This window comes from Homo sapiens, chromosome 5, assembly GCF_000001405.40.
Source record: "Homo sapiens chromosome 5, GRCh38.p14 Primary Assembly".
NCBI lineage: Eukaryota > Metazoa > Chordata > Mammalia > Primates > Hominidae > Homo > Homo sapiens.
This window is the reverse complement of record NC_000005.10, coordinates 32565943-32583581: the sequence shown is the minus strand read 5'-3', so window position 1 is coordinate 32583581 and position 17639 is coordinate 32565943. Positions and strand designations below refer to the sequence as shown.

General features: G+C 43.1%; 1 long non-coding RNA gene across 3 annotated transcripts in view, besides 4 other annotated features; it reads right to left on the bottom strand.

The window, feature by feature from the left end:
• Nucleotides 1555–1614: an enhancer, noted in NCBI's record as "active region_22452". NCBI's record gives its function as "activates an Ori minimal core promoter by ATAC-STARR-seq in GM12878 lymphoblastoid cells {active_cell/tissue: GM12878}" and the evidence as "EXISTENCE:reporter gene assay evidence [ECO:0000049][PMID:35858748]".
• Nucleotides 6886–7056: a silencer, noted in NCBI's record as "fragment chr5:32576632-32576802 (GRCh37/hg19 assembly coordinates)". NCBI's record gives its function as "represses an EF-1alpha promoter that drives an FKBP-Casp9 reporter gene in an ReSE screen in K562 erythroleukemia cells {active_cell/tissue: K562}" and the evidence as "EXISTENCE:reporter gene assay evidence [ECO:0000049][PMID:32094911]".
• Nucleotides 9982–10041: an enhancer, noted in NCBI's record as "active region_22451". NCBI's record gives its function as "activates an Ori minimal core promoter by ATAC-STARR-seq in GM12878 lymphoblastoid cells {active_cell/tissue: GM12878}" and the evidence as "EXISTENCE:reporter gene assay evidence [ECO:0000049][PMID:35858748]".
• Nucleotides 10332–10421: an enhancer, noted in NCBI's record as "active region_22450". NCBI's record gives its function as "activates an Ori minimal core promoter by ATAC-STARR-seq in GM12878 lymphoblastoid cells {active_cell/tissue: GM12878}" and the evidence as "EXISTENCE:reporter gene assay evidence [ECO:0000049][PMID:35858748]".
• The window catches only part of LOC124900954 (uncharacterized), a 65808-nt gene continuing 60018 nt past the window's right edge, over nucleotides 11850–17639 (bottom strand). Inside the window, exon 5 of one of the 3 annotated variants that reach the window (XR_007058719.1) lies at nucleotides 11850–12491. This is a non-coding gene — a long non-coding RNA (uncharacterized LOC124900954). The remainder of the gene's footprint in view (nucleotides 12492–17639) is intronic. The other 2 variants (XR_007058720.1, XR_007058721.1) reach the window with 2 other exon arrangements.

Genomic DNA, 17639 nt, shown 5'->3' with positions numbered 1-17639 from the left:
ACAAAAATAATTTTTTACATAGATGAAAGAGGAAGGAAACTTTTTTATTTTAAACAAAATAGGGGCCAGGCGTGGTGGCTTATGCCTGTAATCCCAGCATTTTGGGAGGCTGAGGCGGGTGGATCACCTGAGGTTAGGGGTTTGAGACCAGCCTGCAAACCTGATGAAACCCCGTCTCTACTAAAAATACAAAAAATTAGCCGGGCGTGGTAGCGGGCACCTGTAATGTCAGCTACTCGGGAGACTGAGGCAAGGAGAATCGCTTGAACCCAGGAGGCAGAGGTTGCAGTGAGCTGAGGCTGCACTGAGCCTAGATCACACCCATTGCACTCCAGCCTAGGCAACAAGAGCGAAACTCCGTCTCAAAAAAAAAAAAAAAAAGACAGCAGTTGCTTTCAAATAATAGAATGGGAAGGAGGTGTAATTCACATGCATTTGTACATTGTGGGGTGGGGAATAGCTCCTTTTATAGGCAAATTCCTAGAGGGCATCTTTAAAAGTGAAAGAACTCCCACTTTCCACTCCAAGCCTTGGTCTGGAAGAAGAGGGTGGCACAAAAAGGAATGTGCTGAATTTGGAGAATCTGTAGGTGTCCCAGAAAGGGAGGTAGACTGGGAAGTAGGGCTGAGAAGGGAAATAGCTCACAAACTATGAAAGGGACAGAGCTTGAGGAGGAGACTGCCAGGAAGAAGTTCCTGGAGGCCTGGAGTATGGCACGGGACTGTTAATGCGGTTCCCTCCAAGGCCTTATGCTGTCGACACCCTCCGTTACTCACTTCTTTCAAAGCTTCCGAAAAAGGCTTATTCAAGTATCAGGATATTATTTTGAAATCTTACCCAATGTGGCTTTTGTTACTAGCACTTCCTGCTTTCTGACCTTCACTCTTTCCCCATCCCCCGTTTTCTCAGCTACAGCATTTGACTAGAAGAAGGATGTTAGACCAGAACACACAGACCAGATTCTTGGCTTTTGACTTTTTTAAACTATTAGGATTCCAGGCATAAATTACAGATTTAAGGTAATGTGCTATTAAAGTTTTTTTCTGGCTGGGTGCTGTGGATCCTGCCTGTAATCCCAGCAATTTGGGAGGCCGAGGTGGGTGGATCACTGGAGCCCAGGAGTTGCAGACCAGCCTGGACAACATAGTGAGACCCTGTCTCTACAAAAAATACAAAAAAATGGGCCAGGCACAGCGGCTCACGCCTGTAATCCCAGCACTTTGGGAGGTCCAGGTGGGTGGATCACGAGGTCAGGAGATCGAGACCATCCTGGCCAACATGGTGAAACCCCGTCTCTACTAAAAATACAAAAATTAGCTGGGCGTGATGGTGCGTGCCTGTAGTCCCAGCTACTCAGGAGGCTGAGGCAGGAGAATCGCTTGAACCCAGGAGGCAGAGGTTGCAGTGAGTCAAGATCATGCCACCGCACTCCAGCCTGGTGACAGAGACAGACTCCATCTCAAAAAAAAAAAAAGAAAAAGAAAAAGAAAAAGAAAAAAATCAGCTGGGTGTAGTGGTAAGTTCCTGTAGTCTCAGCTACTCAGGAGGCTGAGGCAGGAGGATTGCTTGAGCCTGAGAGGTCGAGGCTGCAGTGAGCCATGAGTGCGCCACTGCATTCATTCCAGCCTGGGTGACAGCCTGGGTGTTTTTGAGACCCTGTCTCAAAAACAAACAAACAAAAATAGTTCCTTTTAGCCCACCCCACTCGCCTGTAGAGATTATTGCAACTGTGAAAGGGAGGAGTCAGAAGAGAAAGGAGATGAGGCCCCTCTTCAGTGTCTAAGGAGTAGAGAAGTAGTTCTGCTGTCTGTCCCCACACCAGCCCTGGGGAAGGAAGGAAGCATCAAATTCCCAGAGGGCTTAGGGATCTGAGAGAGCAAAGCAAACTGGTGCCTTGCTTTCCAGGCAGCCGAGCTCTCCGAGCTCCTCTGCAACCCAAGCGCCCCTCCCTCCACCACAGAGTTGGGGTAGAGATATCTGTGTGGTGTGTCAGGATGGCCGACCTCAGGCTTCCTCACCGAGTTCAGAGATGCCCCAGGGTACTGCAGCATTCAGGGGAATGTCTTTCTCTTTGGCCAAGAGTGGCACAGATGTGTCAGTGACAGCCAGCAGACCTGGGGAGGACTTGCAGTGAGGAAGAGGAAATCTCACCACCCTCAACTTGCATAGAGTGCTGTAACAAAGGACATCTCAACAAATACCAGTGTGAAGAAGTGAGAAGGATCAAGAATCAGACAAGATGAACTGTTAAGCAAAGGCCAATGATACGGTCTCCATCTGTGTCCCTGCCCAAATCTCATGTTGAGTTGTAATCCCCAATGTTGGAGGAGGGGGCTGGTGGGAAGTGATTGGATCCTGGGGGCAGATCTCCCTCTTGCTGTTCTCGTAATAGTGAGTGAATTCTCACGAGATCTGGTTGTTTAGAAGTGTGTAGCACCGGCCGGGCACAGTGGCTCATGCCTGTAATCCCAACACTTTGGGAGGCTAAGGAGGGTGGATCACGAGGTCAGGAGATCGAGACCATTCTTGCCAACATGGTGAAACCCTGTCTCTACTAAAACTACAAAAATTAGCTGGGAATGGTGGCACATGCCTGTAATCCCAGCTACTTGGGAGGCTGAGGCAGGAGAATCACTTGAACCAGGGAGTCGGAGGTTGCAGTGAGCCGAGATCATGCCACTGCACTCCAGCCTGGCGACAGAGCGAGACTCCATCTAAAAAACAAAACAAACGAAAAAAAAAAACAGTGTGTAGCTCCTCCCCCTTGTCTCTCTTCCTCCTGCTCCAGCAACGTAGGATGTGCCTGCTTCCCCTTCTCCTTCAACCATGATTGTAAGTTTCCTGAGGCCTCTCCAGCCATGCTTCCTGCACAGCCTGTGGAACCATGAACTAATTAAACCTCTTTTCTTTATAAGTTGCCCAGTCTCAGGTAAATCTTTATAGCAATGCGAGAACAGACTAATGCGGCTGTCATGGACAGATGGGGAAAATGGGCCAGACTCTACCACTACCCTTAGTGCTCTGACACCATGTAATCCTACCCCACCTCTGTCCAGAATTTAGGAGAGAAAGGGGGAAAGGGAGAAATTATGAGTTTGACCTGAAATTGGCCACAATTAAGCTTTTACCACTAGGTGAAATGGTGATCATTAAACACAATCATAAGAAAATGAAGAAAGTCACATTTCCTGAGAGCCTGAGTTTGTAGCACAAGAGACATACCAGTAATATACAAAGAAGAGGAAACAAGAAAGAAAGGGAGAGGAACAGGCTTATGTGCCAGGGATGTGGTGGGCACCTAGGGAGGTCAGCCGCCTCTGGTTTAACCTCCAGGCTAAAGCAGGAAAGCAGATCACAGCGTGAATGACTAGGAGAACATAACTCCTTCCAGGTTATTTTGGGAAAACTTAAGAATTCTGGAGGTCCCACGGCACATGGAATGGTAGCACCAACCATTCAATTTGGATATTAAAAGATATGGTGGCTCTGGATGTCTAGAGGTTTTAGGAACACCTAGGATGGGGCCATGTGGATCATACATGCAAAAGAGAAAACAAATAAAACAAAAACCTGGGCATCCTCCAGTTTAGTGAGTCTGAAGAACTGGGAAGGGAGACAGTACAAGGTAAGAGGGTTGTTATGGATTGAATGCTTGTGTTTTCCCCCAGATTCATATGTTGAACCCTTAATCCCAGTGGGATGGTATTATAGGTGGGGACTTTGGGGCATACTTAGTCATAAGGGTGGAACCCTCATAAATAGATTCATGCTGTTATGAGAAGAGACAAGAGAGAGCTTAATTATTCTGTCTCTGTTCTCTGCCATGTAAAGATACAACAAGAAGGCAGTCATCTGCAAACCAGAAAGTGGGCCCTCACCAGATATGCAGGCACCTTGATCTTGGACTTCTCAGCCTCCACAATTGAATAAAATAAGTGTTGTTTAAGCCACCCAGTCTATGTTATTTCTATTACAGCAGACTAAGACGGGGCAATATACACTCTCCCCAAGAGGAGACACAGGGAGCACCTACTCTTTGTAGGGTGTGAGTTATATCCATCAGATGCAGTGATGTGAGAAAAAGTTAAGGCATAAAAAGCCTTGTGGGTGGGGCTCGGTGGCTCACACCTGTAATCCCAGCACTTTGGGAGGCTGAGGCAGGTGGATCACTTGAGGCCAGGAGTTCAAGACCAGCCTGGCCAACACGGCAAAACCCCATCTCTACTAAAAAATACAAAAATTAGCTGGGTGTGGTGGCACATGCCTGTAATCCCAGCTATCTGGGAGGCTGAGGCAGGAGAATCCCCTGAACCTCAGAGGGTGAAGTTGCTGTGAGCTGAGAGAGGGTGAAGTTGCTGTGAGCTGAGATCACACCACTGCACTCCAGCCTGGCTGACAGAGCAAGACTCTGTCTTAAAAAAAAAAAAATCCTTGCTTCACAGGCTTTGAAGAAGCTGGGAAAAATAATTTTCCTTCTTCCTTTCCTGCCCTGCTAAACCCTGGAGTGTTAGGCCTAGAGACAGAGAGGAAGAAACCAGCAACAGTGTTCACCTGGTGTTATGTAGGCTTGGCTTCAATGAGACATAATCCCAGATCAGAAAGCCAACAATGGCAGTCAAAAACAAACAGAGTGAAATTCCTCTGTCAGCAGTTATAGTGGTAATGCTGGTCATCTGGAGACCAAAGTGGGCAATTTAATATGGATGAGAGGAGAAAAGGAAGGACTGAACTTGCTCCCCATAGCAGCGCTATGACCCATGCGCTAAAATTTTCTTCCACCAAACAAGTTGCTACAGACCCTTGTATTTTATCTACCGTCAAAAATGAACTTTCATAGTACAACATTAAAAAAGCTAAGAATATGTAATTCCAAAAGTTTAATACTCCTTCTCACTCAAGTAATTATAAATAAATATGAATTACATGAATTACGTGTAAAGTCATATGCAATGAGTAACAGCAATATATTTAAGGAAGTTATTTAAATACAAACTGCTAAGCATTTCTCCCCTAGGGTGACTTTTCTGAACTTGGTACTGGAGCTATTCTTAGATCCAACTTTCATTAGAAATGCAGTGTCACCTTTTATAGAAGAACGCATTTTGTAATAGCAAATATATGTACACCGTCTTTAGTAGGTGAATAGCACAACTCCTCCTGCTAGCTATACCTGACTTATTTAATGTGCTATAAAATAGTGTAATTACTTTCTAGTAAATATGCTGTAACTTACATTCAAATGAGTGTTTTCTCCTTCAAAAGTCGTCTTCTTGGAGGCTGCAAAAACATTGTAATGACTCTGACATTGGTCAAAGTTAACTTTTAGAATTCCTCTTTGAGAATGGCTGTCAGAGCTTGAGGCATAGTCTTTTACAGGCTCCCAGCAACAAGAAATCTTTAGCTTTTGCAGTTAATTTCTATTTGTAAAGAGCAAAAAGGTTTCTAAGTTCCATGATCAGTAATATGAGTAATTAAGAAATTTATAAAAATGATATCCTTTTATGGATTACTAATTGGCCCTGGTAACAAATACAAAAAAGAAAAAATGTTGAGTGCAAATGTGGGATCACTGTTTGAACAAATATGTAATGTCCCAAGAAGACTACTATGGAGGATAGTTCATTTATGTGTTCTGGTTTCACATGTTATGTGTTACCTGTTACAAAGACAGTCTATTTAAGTGTTAAATTTTCTGGAGTGCTCAATACTTAACATGCATACTATGTTGCTATGCTTGTGATAGTCAATAAAAAGAATTTGAAAAATCCAATCCAAGTATCTACCTCTTAGCTGGGGCCCAGCACTAGGCTGGCTGGTTGACCATCACACCCCTTGCAGGAAGCATAGCATGAGATGTATTAGCCAATGGGTTACGTATAGTGACTGAATAGACAATCAGATACCATCATGGTCTCGACTGAAACAAGAACTTGATCTGCCAACAGCCCTGCTTAGCCAGAGATCACAGGAGAGAGTGATACCTGCACTGAGAAACCCAAATTATTTAATTTGGCAATACCTTCAGAGTACTACAGTTTAGCATAGTTATGCAGACTCTTCACCTCTGAACTGTCAGAGAAACTAGCAGCCCGGGGTCAAGATTACAATGCTACTCAATCACATCCTGAGTTTTTCATACCACTGGTACTTCACAGTGGTCTTTTCACATCATTGTGTCTTCAGTTAATGTATTTCTTGTTTGAAAGATCAGCTTGTTGCTTTTGGTTTCAAAATTTTAACTATGATTAACAAACCAAGACAGGTGTATTGATTCTGGTATCTCAGTTTGTTAAAAGGTCTGCTTTTTAGTAACCCCTTATATGGACATTCTTGTTCCTCGGTGACTTCTGCTAGATTATCAAGCCCTAGACTTCAATAGTTAAATAGTGTATTCTATCATGGCAGAACCTAGGACATAGTTGACTTTATATCCCTGAATAGGACAATACTGAAAATGGAAACTCTTGCAGAAGTATATCTGACTAAGTCCATCCGGGACATAGCATCCAACAAGAAAAACTGGGATCTACACACAGAAGAAAGTAGCAAGGTAAAGAAATCGGTAAATAATTTCTCTCCAACGAGTTTTTAATTTATTCGCTAAAAGAACTTCAACTGTTATAATTGTTAAGCAAATTCCTCAACAATTCTGCTTTCTTATGCCCTGCTGGTTTAGTTTTCTGCTCTTTCTTGTTTTAGCCCTTGCTCTAAATTTTCCTTTAAAGAAACTTCTAGAGACATCTACCACATTAGATTCTGCTGAAATATGTTATCAGGTTAGTAATTTATTTTCTCTAAAGACCTGGAGCTTTTTTTTCAAATGAGATATTTCCTCTATGAATTCGAACTGTTACTCTGGAGGATAGTTTTCTTTTTTCTGTCTTCTATTTTTTGTTTTGTTTGCTTTGGTTTGGTTGGTTGGTTGGTGGTTTTTTGTTTTGTTTTGTTTTTCTTTTTTAGTCTGAGTCTTTCTCTGTCGCCCATGCTGGAGTGCATGCAGCAGTGTGATCTTGGCTCACTGCAACCTCTGCCTCCCCAGTTCAAGTGATTCTCCTGCCTCAGCCTCCCAAGTACCTGGGATTACAGGCACCTGCCACCACGCCTGGCTAATTTTTTTTTTTTTTTTGTATTTTTAGTAGAGATGGGGTTTCACCATGTTGGCCAGGCTGGTCTCGAACTCCTGACCTCAGGTGATCTGCCCGCCTTGGCCTCCCAAAGTGCTGGGATTACAGGCGTGAGCCACTGCGCCCAGCCATTTTTGTTTGTTTGTTTTCTTATTTACCAGGGATGCTGTTAAATAGGATAGTTTTCTAATAAAACTTGCCCATTTTAAACAATCTATATGAATTCACATTTCTTTAGGTCATTTATGTAATTTTTATTAATTCTTCAGTATTCTGACTAGGAGCTCACCTATAAAGCCAAATTAGAAGCCTTAATTCAATAGTGTAAATATCTTTGTGTCAATTCCACACAGAAAGCAGAGATTTTGTCCTCATAACATGTTATCAAGGAGTTAATGCTAAATCCAAGCAGAACCCGAGATGTGCAGAAAGGATGCTGCTATCCATGGTGATTTAAGGAGAAAGCAGGTAGAACTAGTAAATGTGTCTCAAAAGTGATTCTCCAAGAGGGACTGGGAGAGTCTTGCCTTGTGAAAAGACACTTAGAGAATGCATAGCCAGATCTCTGGGTCCTTTGGTGCAAAGTCCACTGGGCATTTACACTTCTGATTTAGAAAATCAATCAACTGCCAAACTTATCTACTATGTGCGATCACTGAGCTTGACTTTAGGAACAAAGAAATCCAAGGGGGAGTTGGCAGCATCTTCAGAGCACCTCCTATATTCCGGGCACTTATGCATGTCATCTCATTGTATTCACATTAAGCCTGGGAGAGAGGTGTTTTATTCCATTATAGAAAGGAAGAAACTGTACTCAGATTGGTGAAGGGAGTTACCTGAGTTAGTTGGTTGAATTGTAACCCCCCTCAAAAAATCTACCCAAGTCCTAACCCCAGTACCTGTGATTGTGACTACATTTGAAAATAGGGTCTTTGCAGATGTAATCACATTATGACAAAGTCATACTAAATTAGGATGGGCTTCAAATACAGTGACCTGTGTCTTTACCAGAGAAAGCAGAAAGACACTTGGATGCATCTTACAAGCCGAGGAACACCAAGGATTGCGGGCAGGCACCAGAAACTAGGCAGAGGCAAGGGAGGACTCTTCCCTAAAGCTTTCAGGAGGAGCATGGCCCTCCCGTTGCCTTGATTTTCGACTTCTACCCTCCAGAACTTTAAGATAATAAATTTCTGTTGATTGATTGATTGATTTTTTGAGACAGAATCTTGTTCTAGTCGCCCAGGCTGGAGTTCAGTGGCATGATCTCGCCTCACTGCAATCTCTGCCTCCTAGGTTCAAGCAGTCAGTTCTCCTGTCAGCCTCACAAGTAGCTGGGATTACAGGCGTCTGCCACCACACTTGGCTAATTTTTGCATTTTTAGTAGAGACAGGGTTTTACCATGTTGGCCAGGCTGGTCTCAAACTCCTGACCTCAAGTGATCCACCTACCTCAGCCTCCCAAAGTGCTGGAATTACAGGCATGAGCCACCATGCCTGGCCAAATTTCTGTTGATTTAAACTACGAAGCTTGTGACAATTTATTACAGTCTTAGGACACAAAGATACCAGTGTCACACAGCGGCTAAGTAGCAGTGCTGGAATTTGATCCCAGTTGTTTGCTTTGCAAATACCAAACATAACCCATATACCATGATATCAAGGGGGGATTTTGTTGCCACATGATTTCTGAACCTATTCAAGGCTGTCCTAGACATTATGAGCCAAGGAGAAGTGGTAAACTGCCTGAATTCAACCTAAGAGTTACAGATGCCCAAGCTGCATTCTCTCAGAGAACTGATACATGGGGAGCTGCATAGAGGCATGGAAAGGTTGCTAAAGAGCTGGGTCCAGAGACCTACAGTGATATTGACCATAACAGGGCAAGGGCAAGTCATTTTACCTCCCTGGGTCTCAGTTTCCTGTTCCCATCAGAGGTCAGGTTAAATATTCCATGGGATCCCAGACAACTGTGTAACCAGTTGGCTGGCCCACCCCAGACCTTTTTAAAAAACTTTTTGGACAGGCGCAGTGGCTCATGCCTGTAATCCCAGCACTTTGGGAGGCCGAGGTGGGTGGATCACAAGATCAGGAGTTCCAGACCAGCCTGCCCAACATAGTGAAACCCCATCTCCACTAAAAAAATATAAAAATTAGCCGGGCATGGTGGTGTGTGCCTGTAATCCCAGCTACTTGGGAGGCTGAGGCAGGAGAATTGCTTGAATCCGGGAGGCAGAGGTTGCAGTGAGTTGAGATCGCACTACTACACTCCAGCCTAGGCAACAGAGCAAGTCTCCGTCTCAAAAAAAAAAAAAATTCAATAGCTGTAAGGGTTCAGTGGTTTTTGGCTACACAGATGAATTGTATAGTGGTGAAGTCTGAGCTTTTAGTGTACCTGTCACCTGAATAATGTACATTGAACCCAATAGTGAAACATTTTAATTTCTACTTTTCTTTCTTTCTTTGGTCAGTAAGTTTTATTTTAATTTTTTTTTAATGTTTTGCCATTGGATTAGTTACATCTCCATTTAAATGTTTCTTCTTGTATCTATTCATTTTCAGGCATTAGAAGTTAAAATAATGGAAATAGGGCTGGGAATGGTGGCTCATGCCTGTAATCCCAGCACTTTGGGAGGCAGAGGAGAGTGGATCACTTGAGCCCAGGAGTTTGAGACCAGCCTGAGCAACAAAGTGAAACCCCCATCTCTACAAAAAATAGAAAAATTAGCCGGCCATGGTGGCATGTGCTTGTAGTCCCAACTACTCGGGAGGCTGAGGTGGGAGGATGACTTGAGCCAAGGAGGTCAAGGCCTGCAGTGAGCTGTAATTGCTCCACTGGCCAGCCTGGGCAACAGAGTGAGACCCTGTCTCAAAAAAAAAAAAAGAAAAAAGAAAGAAAAAAAAAAGGTAATATATTTCAGTGAAGTGCACAGTATTTCTTTCTCCTTCTTGACAGCGGCTCACACTTTTAATGAAGGACCCAAGCCAGCACAGTGCTCTCGTAGCCACAGCAGGTGTAAAAGAGAAGTTGACTGTTTCAAAGATAAAAACGATGAACCGTTCCCAAAATAAACATTAATCTTTTGAAACCATCAACCATGCAGAGTAATGCAAATACTAAATTGGGTTGTTTTCCAGGATGACTTTTCTTTAAGAATGTCAAATGGCAAAAAAAAAAAATGCACCTGCTTTTACAGCTGCGACTCTGAACAGAATCAAGCAAAGTCCCCCAGTGATGCATCCTGTCCAATCTCATAGGTATAGAAAGGAGGCATTCTTAGCTAAGAAGAAGAACTGGGCTATTTTCACTTTGACTTGCCCTTCTTTGCGTGTGTTCAAAGTAGTGCTATTTATAAAAGTTCTAAAATCAAAAGATTAATACAGTCGAGGAACTTTTGAGGCACCCTCTTAGACACTGGCTCAGTTTCTTCTCTTTCAGCAAGCTGAGCTGCAGTGACTGCCAACAAGGAGAGAAAGAAGGTGATTGCACGTGAGAATGTAGAAACTGGAGCGCTTCTTTCCAGCCTCCTTTGTGAATTCTCTCAGAGGTGGAAAGCCCATGGCATCATATCACAATAGCCTCCTTCTGTCATTTTAAAATGCACAACCAGGATTGTTATCAACAATATTATTGTTATTATTATTTTTGTCATTTTATTATTTTGGTGTGGGAGAATCTGATTCCCTGAGCATAAATGTGGGGGGGCTGTGTGTGTGTGCACACATACACACACATACATATTAAATGACAAATTAAATGACATACTATCCATTGTTGTTGAATAAACAAGAAATGTTTTGTCAACTCTACAGGAGATGCCAATAGAATCAATAAATACAGAGTGAATTCGAAGAGCAAGGTACTATGCCAGCCATTTTGAAACAAAGATGATTCATTCGAAAGGTAAAGTGACTGCTAATGGGTATGAGGTTTCTTTTTTCTTTTTTTTCTTTTTTCTTTTTTAAATAGAGACAAGGTCTTGCTATCAGGTATGAGGTTTCTTTTTTTTTATTGTGAGACAGAGTCTTGTTCTGTCACTCAGGCTGGAGTGCAATGGCTTGATCTTGGCTCACTGCAACCTCTGCCTCCTGGGTTCAAATGATTCTCCTGCCTCAACCTCCCGAGTAGCTTGGACTACAGGCATGCGCCACCATGCCCGGCTAATTTTTTGTATTTTTAGTAGAGACAGGGTTTCACCATGTTGGCCAGGCTGGTCTCGAACTCCTGACCTCAACTCCTGACCTCAGGCGATCCACCTGCCTTGGCCTCCCAAAGGCGTGAGCCACTGCGCCCAGCCAGGTATGAGGTTTCTGATTGTGGTGATAAAAATGTTCTGGAATCAGTGATGATGACTATATCACTTTGTGAATATACTAAAAATCACTGAATTGTAACTTTAAAAGGGTGAATTTTATGGTGTGTGACTTGTTTTTGTTTTTGAGATGGAGTCTCATTGTGTTGTCAGGCTGGAGTGCAGTGGTACTATCTCGGCTTACTGCAGCCTCCGCCTCCCGGGTTCAAGCGATTCTCCTGCCTCAGCCACCGGAGTAGCTGGGACTACAGGCACACACCACCATGCCCAGCTAATTTTGGTATTTTTAGTAGGGGTTTCACCATGTTGGCCAGGATGGTCTCAATCTCTTGACCTCATGATCCGCCTGCCTTGGCCTCCTGAAGTGCTGGGATTACAGCACCACTGCACCCAGCCTATGGTATGTGAATTCTATCTCAATTTATACATACATACATGCATATATATAATTAAAGAATAGCTAGTATGTGCCAGAGAGTCTGTGCTAGGCATTGGGTAAATCATACCTAACCTGTTTGAGTTACTGACTCTGTGTCAGCCTGTATGCGAAGTTCTTTGCATACATCCTCTTATTTGATCTTTATAATCTCCTTGGAGGGAATGAGTATTGGTACCCCATTTTATAGCTAAAGAAATGGATTTAGAGAGTCCCTTGCTCAAAATCACATGTGAAGTTAGGTTTAATCATGTGAAACTGCCATTTTGTAGACAGTATTTATGTTCATATGTCATCAGTTTCTTATAGCTCAATCTAGTAAGTAGCTGTGTCTCTCTGAGTTTGTCACTGTGTACATCAGGAAACCACTCTAGCCAGATTAAGCAGCAAAGAATCATGAGAAGGTAAGAGCCTATGTCCATAAATGGCAATGTGTACTAAAAACGACTTCATATGAGTGAAGAAATAAGGTTATATTGTGTGAAGTCACAAATAATTTGAGGTTTATCTGTTATAGCACCTAGCACCACTTACCCTAATGAATGCACCAGGCCTATTGGACTCCAGAGGCTGTGTTCTTGTCCACTGGTAATTTGTCTCCTTCAGGGAGTTTAGAATCTGTTGACAGATACATGTACAATGTACTAGAATACTAGAATCAAAAATAGAAATTCCACTAGAGTGAAAGAAATAATGAATTATAAGGTTAACATAACAGAGAACACAAAAACCAGTGGCTTAACCAAACTAGGCCCTTATTCTTTTCACAAAGCAAGAAGTCTGAGGATACAGTCCAGAGTTAGAAGGTCATCCTCACAATTCCGTTAGCGACCCAAGATATATCTTCCTTTCCACACCACCATCCTTAGCGTGTGGCATTCTGTGAAGGAAGGATAAGTCAAAGGACAAAGGTGCATGCCAGTCAAATTAACCCCTTTTTAGGCCCCCTCTGAAGTCTCTCCCAGAAATGAACACTTGACAAGAACTATTTCAGTGGCTGCTTGTGATTTCAAGGAAGACTGTAAAATATTTTTTTTTATTTTTTTATTTTTAAAAACAGGATTTTTTTTTTTTGAGATGGGGTCTCACTACATTGCCGAGGCTGGTCTTGAACTCCTGGGCTCAAGCGATCCTCCCGCCTTGACCTCCCAAAGTGCTGGAGTTTAAGCTACGTGGCATGAGCCACGGTGCCCAGACTAAAATTTGATTATTCCTAAGATGGTGAAATTTATCACTCTGTACAAATTAGGATGCTGTTAGTAATGGAAAATGAGGAGTGAACAGTAGGAAGGCAACTAACACATTCTGCCTCATACAGGAAGAAAGTTCAAAAGCCTGGGTAGACAGAGACGGACAAATGTCTACTACAGGGATCAGCCAGGATTTACACCCAGGTTTGACTGCTCCAGAGCCAGTACTGTTAACTCCAGGTGATGCTGCCTCCTTCATGGAGTATATAGTGTAGAAATGTGTTTGCACTACTTACTGTGACATAAAGATATTATATTAGTTTCCTATTGTTGGTGTAGCATATTACCACAAACTCAGTAGCTTTAAATAACAATAATTTAGGGTTTTACATTTCCAGAGTTCAGAAGTCCAAAATCAGTTTCACTGGGCTAAAGTCAAGGTGTTGGCAGGGCTGGTTTCTTCTAGAGGCTCTAGAAAAGAATCCGTTTCCTTGCCTTTTTTTAACTTCTGGAGGCTGCCTGCATTCCTTGGTTCATGGCCCCTTTCTTGAATCATTCCAAGCTCTTGCTTCTGTGTCCCATCTCCTACTTTCATAATGAAATCTCCCTCTTCCTCCTTTTTATAAGGACACTTGTGATTACACTTAGTGCTCATCCAGATAATTTAAAATAAACTCTCCATCTCAAGATTCTTAACCTAATCCTATCTGCAAAAAAATTATTTTGCTTTATAGGGATAAAATCAAGAGGTTCCAGGGATTAGGACATGGATACCATTGATTGACATATTATTCAACCTACCACAAATAGTAAGTTAGAAATTATTAAGTGCAAGGAAAAAAAAAAAAAAAAAAGGATGACCACATTGGCAATTGCCTTGAAAAAGGAGCAAGCAAACTGAGAAACATAAGATTCAGAAGGCCAAAAGAGAAATACTACTTGGAGAGCCTGAAAGAAGAGTATAAACAATCTGGAAATGGAAAGATAACACAGACATCATGGGGAATAAGTAAAATAACCCTAAACTACAAACAGGCTGTGTCAGAGCTGAGGGGAAACTTTGAGACCGAGAGACCCAGTAAGGGTTTATCTCCAAAGCTAGACAAAATGTGGTTCAAGATTACTCATGGTGGCCAAGCGTGGTGGCTCATGCCTGTAATCCCAGCACTTTGGGAGGCTGAGGCAGGCAGATCACTTGAGGTCAGGAGTTCAAAACCAGCCTGGCCAACATGGTAAAACCCCATCTCAACTAAAAGTACAAAAAAAAAAAAAAAGAAAAAGAAAAAGAAAAATTAGCCTGGTGTGGTGGCACATGCCTGTAATCCCAGCTACTCAGGAGGCTGAGGCTCGAAAATCGCTTGAACCTGGGAGGCAGAGGTTGCAGTGAGCCAAGATCACGCCACTGCATTCCAGCCTTTGCAACAGAGTGAGACTCAGTCTCAAAAAAAAAGAAGAAGAAAAAGATTACTCATGGCCCTGGGAATGTCTTCCAAGCCTTTTGTACCCTCCTGTGTCCTTTCCAGTGATAGAAGGCGGCTCTGGCTCCTCTTAAAGTTTGGAGAGCCTCAAAATCAGTACTCAGATGAAGCAAGAGAGGTGCCTGGTGCCCACACTGACCCTGGACTTGCATCACCCTAAGTGTCTCCTTACTTCTTAAATTTTACACAACAGACACCTCACTTTCTCTCACCCCAGTCCCCAGCTCTGGATAGCTTATAGATAAGCAAGGCCTTGAGGTCTTGAGGAGTTTACCAAACCCTGAACAATGTGAAGAAAGACATTTTAAGCGGTATAATTTATCAATCTTCCTCCTATTATGAGCCCTTGAAGACATTTTAATTTCTGAGTCTAGACATTTTGATGAAGCAAGGCATCCCTTCACCCAGGGGAGCACTCAAACAAAAGCTGAATGTCTCCTACTATTTGCTTTTGCTTTTGGTTAACTTTATTTCTTTTTTTTTTTTTTTTTTTGAGATGGAGTCTCCTTCTGTCACCAGGCTGGAGTGCAGTGGTGTGATCTTGGCTCACTGCAATCTCCACCTCCTGGGTTCAAGCGATTCTCGTGCCTCACCCTCCCGAGTAGCACACGCCACCATGCCCAGCTAATTTTTGTATTTTTAGTAGAGACGGGGTTTCACCATGTTGGCCAGGATGGTCACGAGCTGCTGACCTTCTGATCCACCCACCTCGGCCTCCCAAAGTGCTGGGATTACAGGCGTGAGCCACCGCGTCCAGCCTTCCTTCCTTTCTTTCTTTCTTTCTTTCTTTCTTTCTTTCTTTCTTTCTTTCTTTCTTTCTTCCTTTCTTTCTTTCTTTCCTTTCTTTCTTTTCTTTTTTAAGATGGAGTTTTGCTCTGTCACCCAGGCTGGAGTGCAGTGGCACAATCTTGGCTCACTGCAACCTCCGCCTCCCAGGTTCAAGTGATTCTTTTGCCTCAGCCTCCCCAGTAGCTGGGATTGTAGGTGCCCACGACCATGCCCCATTAATTGTTTGTAGTTTTAATAGAGACAAGGTTTTGGCATGTTGGCCAGGTTGGTCTCAAACTCCTGAACTCAGGTGATCCGCCCACCTCGGCCTCTCAAAGCACTGGGATTACAGGGGTGAGCCACTGTGCCCGGCTTCTTTAGGTTAACTTTCAAGTCATCAAAGTTCAAGTGTCTTAAAAAGGAGGCCACACCCCAGGGGATTCCTCCCTGCAACAGGCCTGCAGGGACCTCAAGAAGATCTCTGTGAGGACACAGGAGGCACCCAGGAGGCCTTGCTGCTCATACCCCTGTGTGACCTGGATTCTGTGGACTGCCTGTGCATGGCTCTTTTGCTAGTTTGGTGGTAAAACAAAGCAAAAGGTGAAAAAGAAATAAGGATTAAAAGTATCTGCTATGGTTTAGATATGGCTTATTTCTTCCCCCCAAAAGTTACGTTGAATTTGATCCCCAATATGGTGGTGTCGGGCCTAGTGGGAGGAATTTGGGTCATGGGGGTGAATCCATCATGAACAGATTAATGCCCTCCCTCAAGGGTGAGTGAGTTACACTCTAGCTCTATTACTTCTTGGGAGACAGCCAGTTGTTAAAAAGAACCTGGCACCTCCCACCCTGTATTAGTCCATTCTCACATTGCTATAAAAAAATACCTGAGACTGGGTAATTTATAAAGAAAAGAGGTTTAATTGGCTCATGGTTCTGCAGGCTGTACAGGAAGCATGGTGCTGGGATCTGCTTGGCTTCTGTGGAGGCTTCAGGAAACTTACAATCATGGCAGAAGGTGAAAGGCAGAGCAGGAGAGAGAGAGTAGGGAAGGTGCTACACACTTTTAAATGCCCAGATCTCATGAGAGTTCACTCACTATCACAAGGACGGTACCTAGGGGGATGGTACTAAATCATTCATGAGAAAGCCATGTCATAATCCAATCACCTCCCACCAGGCCCCACCTCCAACACTGGGGATTATGTATCAATATGAGATTTGGGCAGGAATACACATCCAAACCATATCACCTTCTCTCCATTGCTTCCTCTCTCACCATGTGATCTTTGCAAACACCTGCTCCCCTTTGCCTTCCACCATGAGTGGAGGCAGCCTGAGGCCCTTACCAGATGCAGATGTCCAATCTTGGACTTTCCAGCCATCAGAATCATGAACCAAGTAAACCTTTTTTTCTCTACAAATTACCCAGCCTTAAGCGTTCTGTTATGGCAACACTAAATGGACTAACCATCAAAGTCTAAACAGGAATGCTTTTTCTTATTATGACTAGAAAACATGTAACTTCTCCTGATGAGACTGTCCCAGAGAAAAAAAGAAAACAATCTGAAAATGCAGGAGAAAAAATGAATCCAGGAATGTTTGAAAGTTAACCTTTAAGCTCATGTTCCCTACAAGGGTTGGGAAGAGGGGCCGGTTTGAAAGACTGATGATTTGCTCTTGTGCAGGGTTCATCGACCCTGACAACATTACATTTGGGGTCAGATAAGTCTTTGGCAGTGGGGACTCTGCTTTGCATTGTAGTATGTTTGGCAACACTCTTGGCCTCAACCCACTGTATGTCAGTGATATCTCTGCCCTAACTGTGACAACCAAAAAAATGTCCCAATATATTGCCAAATGTTCCCTGGAAACAGAAATAGTCCCTGACTGAGAACCACAGCTCTGGGGAGTTATCAGTGCTTCAGCTGAGTTCATCAAAGTAACTTTCCCATCATAGAATTCCTGTTAACTCTGAATGAGAAGAAAGGCAATAGTATTCTTCAAAATGACATGTCACAGAACAGTAACTCATCATTCCTGTTACCCTAGAATAATAACCAAAAATAGATTACAAATGGATTTTTATATATTATATGGAAGCCCTAAATTAGTGGAGGAGGGGAGACACAGGGAGCTCACTGTGCCCCTCACAGAGACTTCCAAAACACCTTATACCTCTCCATCCACAAAAACTCACCTGCAGATGCTCCCTCGTCCTACCCTTCTTATCTGAAAATGATACCAACAGCTACATCTTTTTAACTCTGCAATTCAGGGAATCTCAATGGAGATCATTAGATAGGTGACAATTGTTTTAAAGTGTTGAA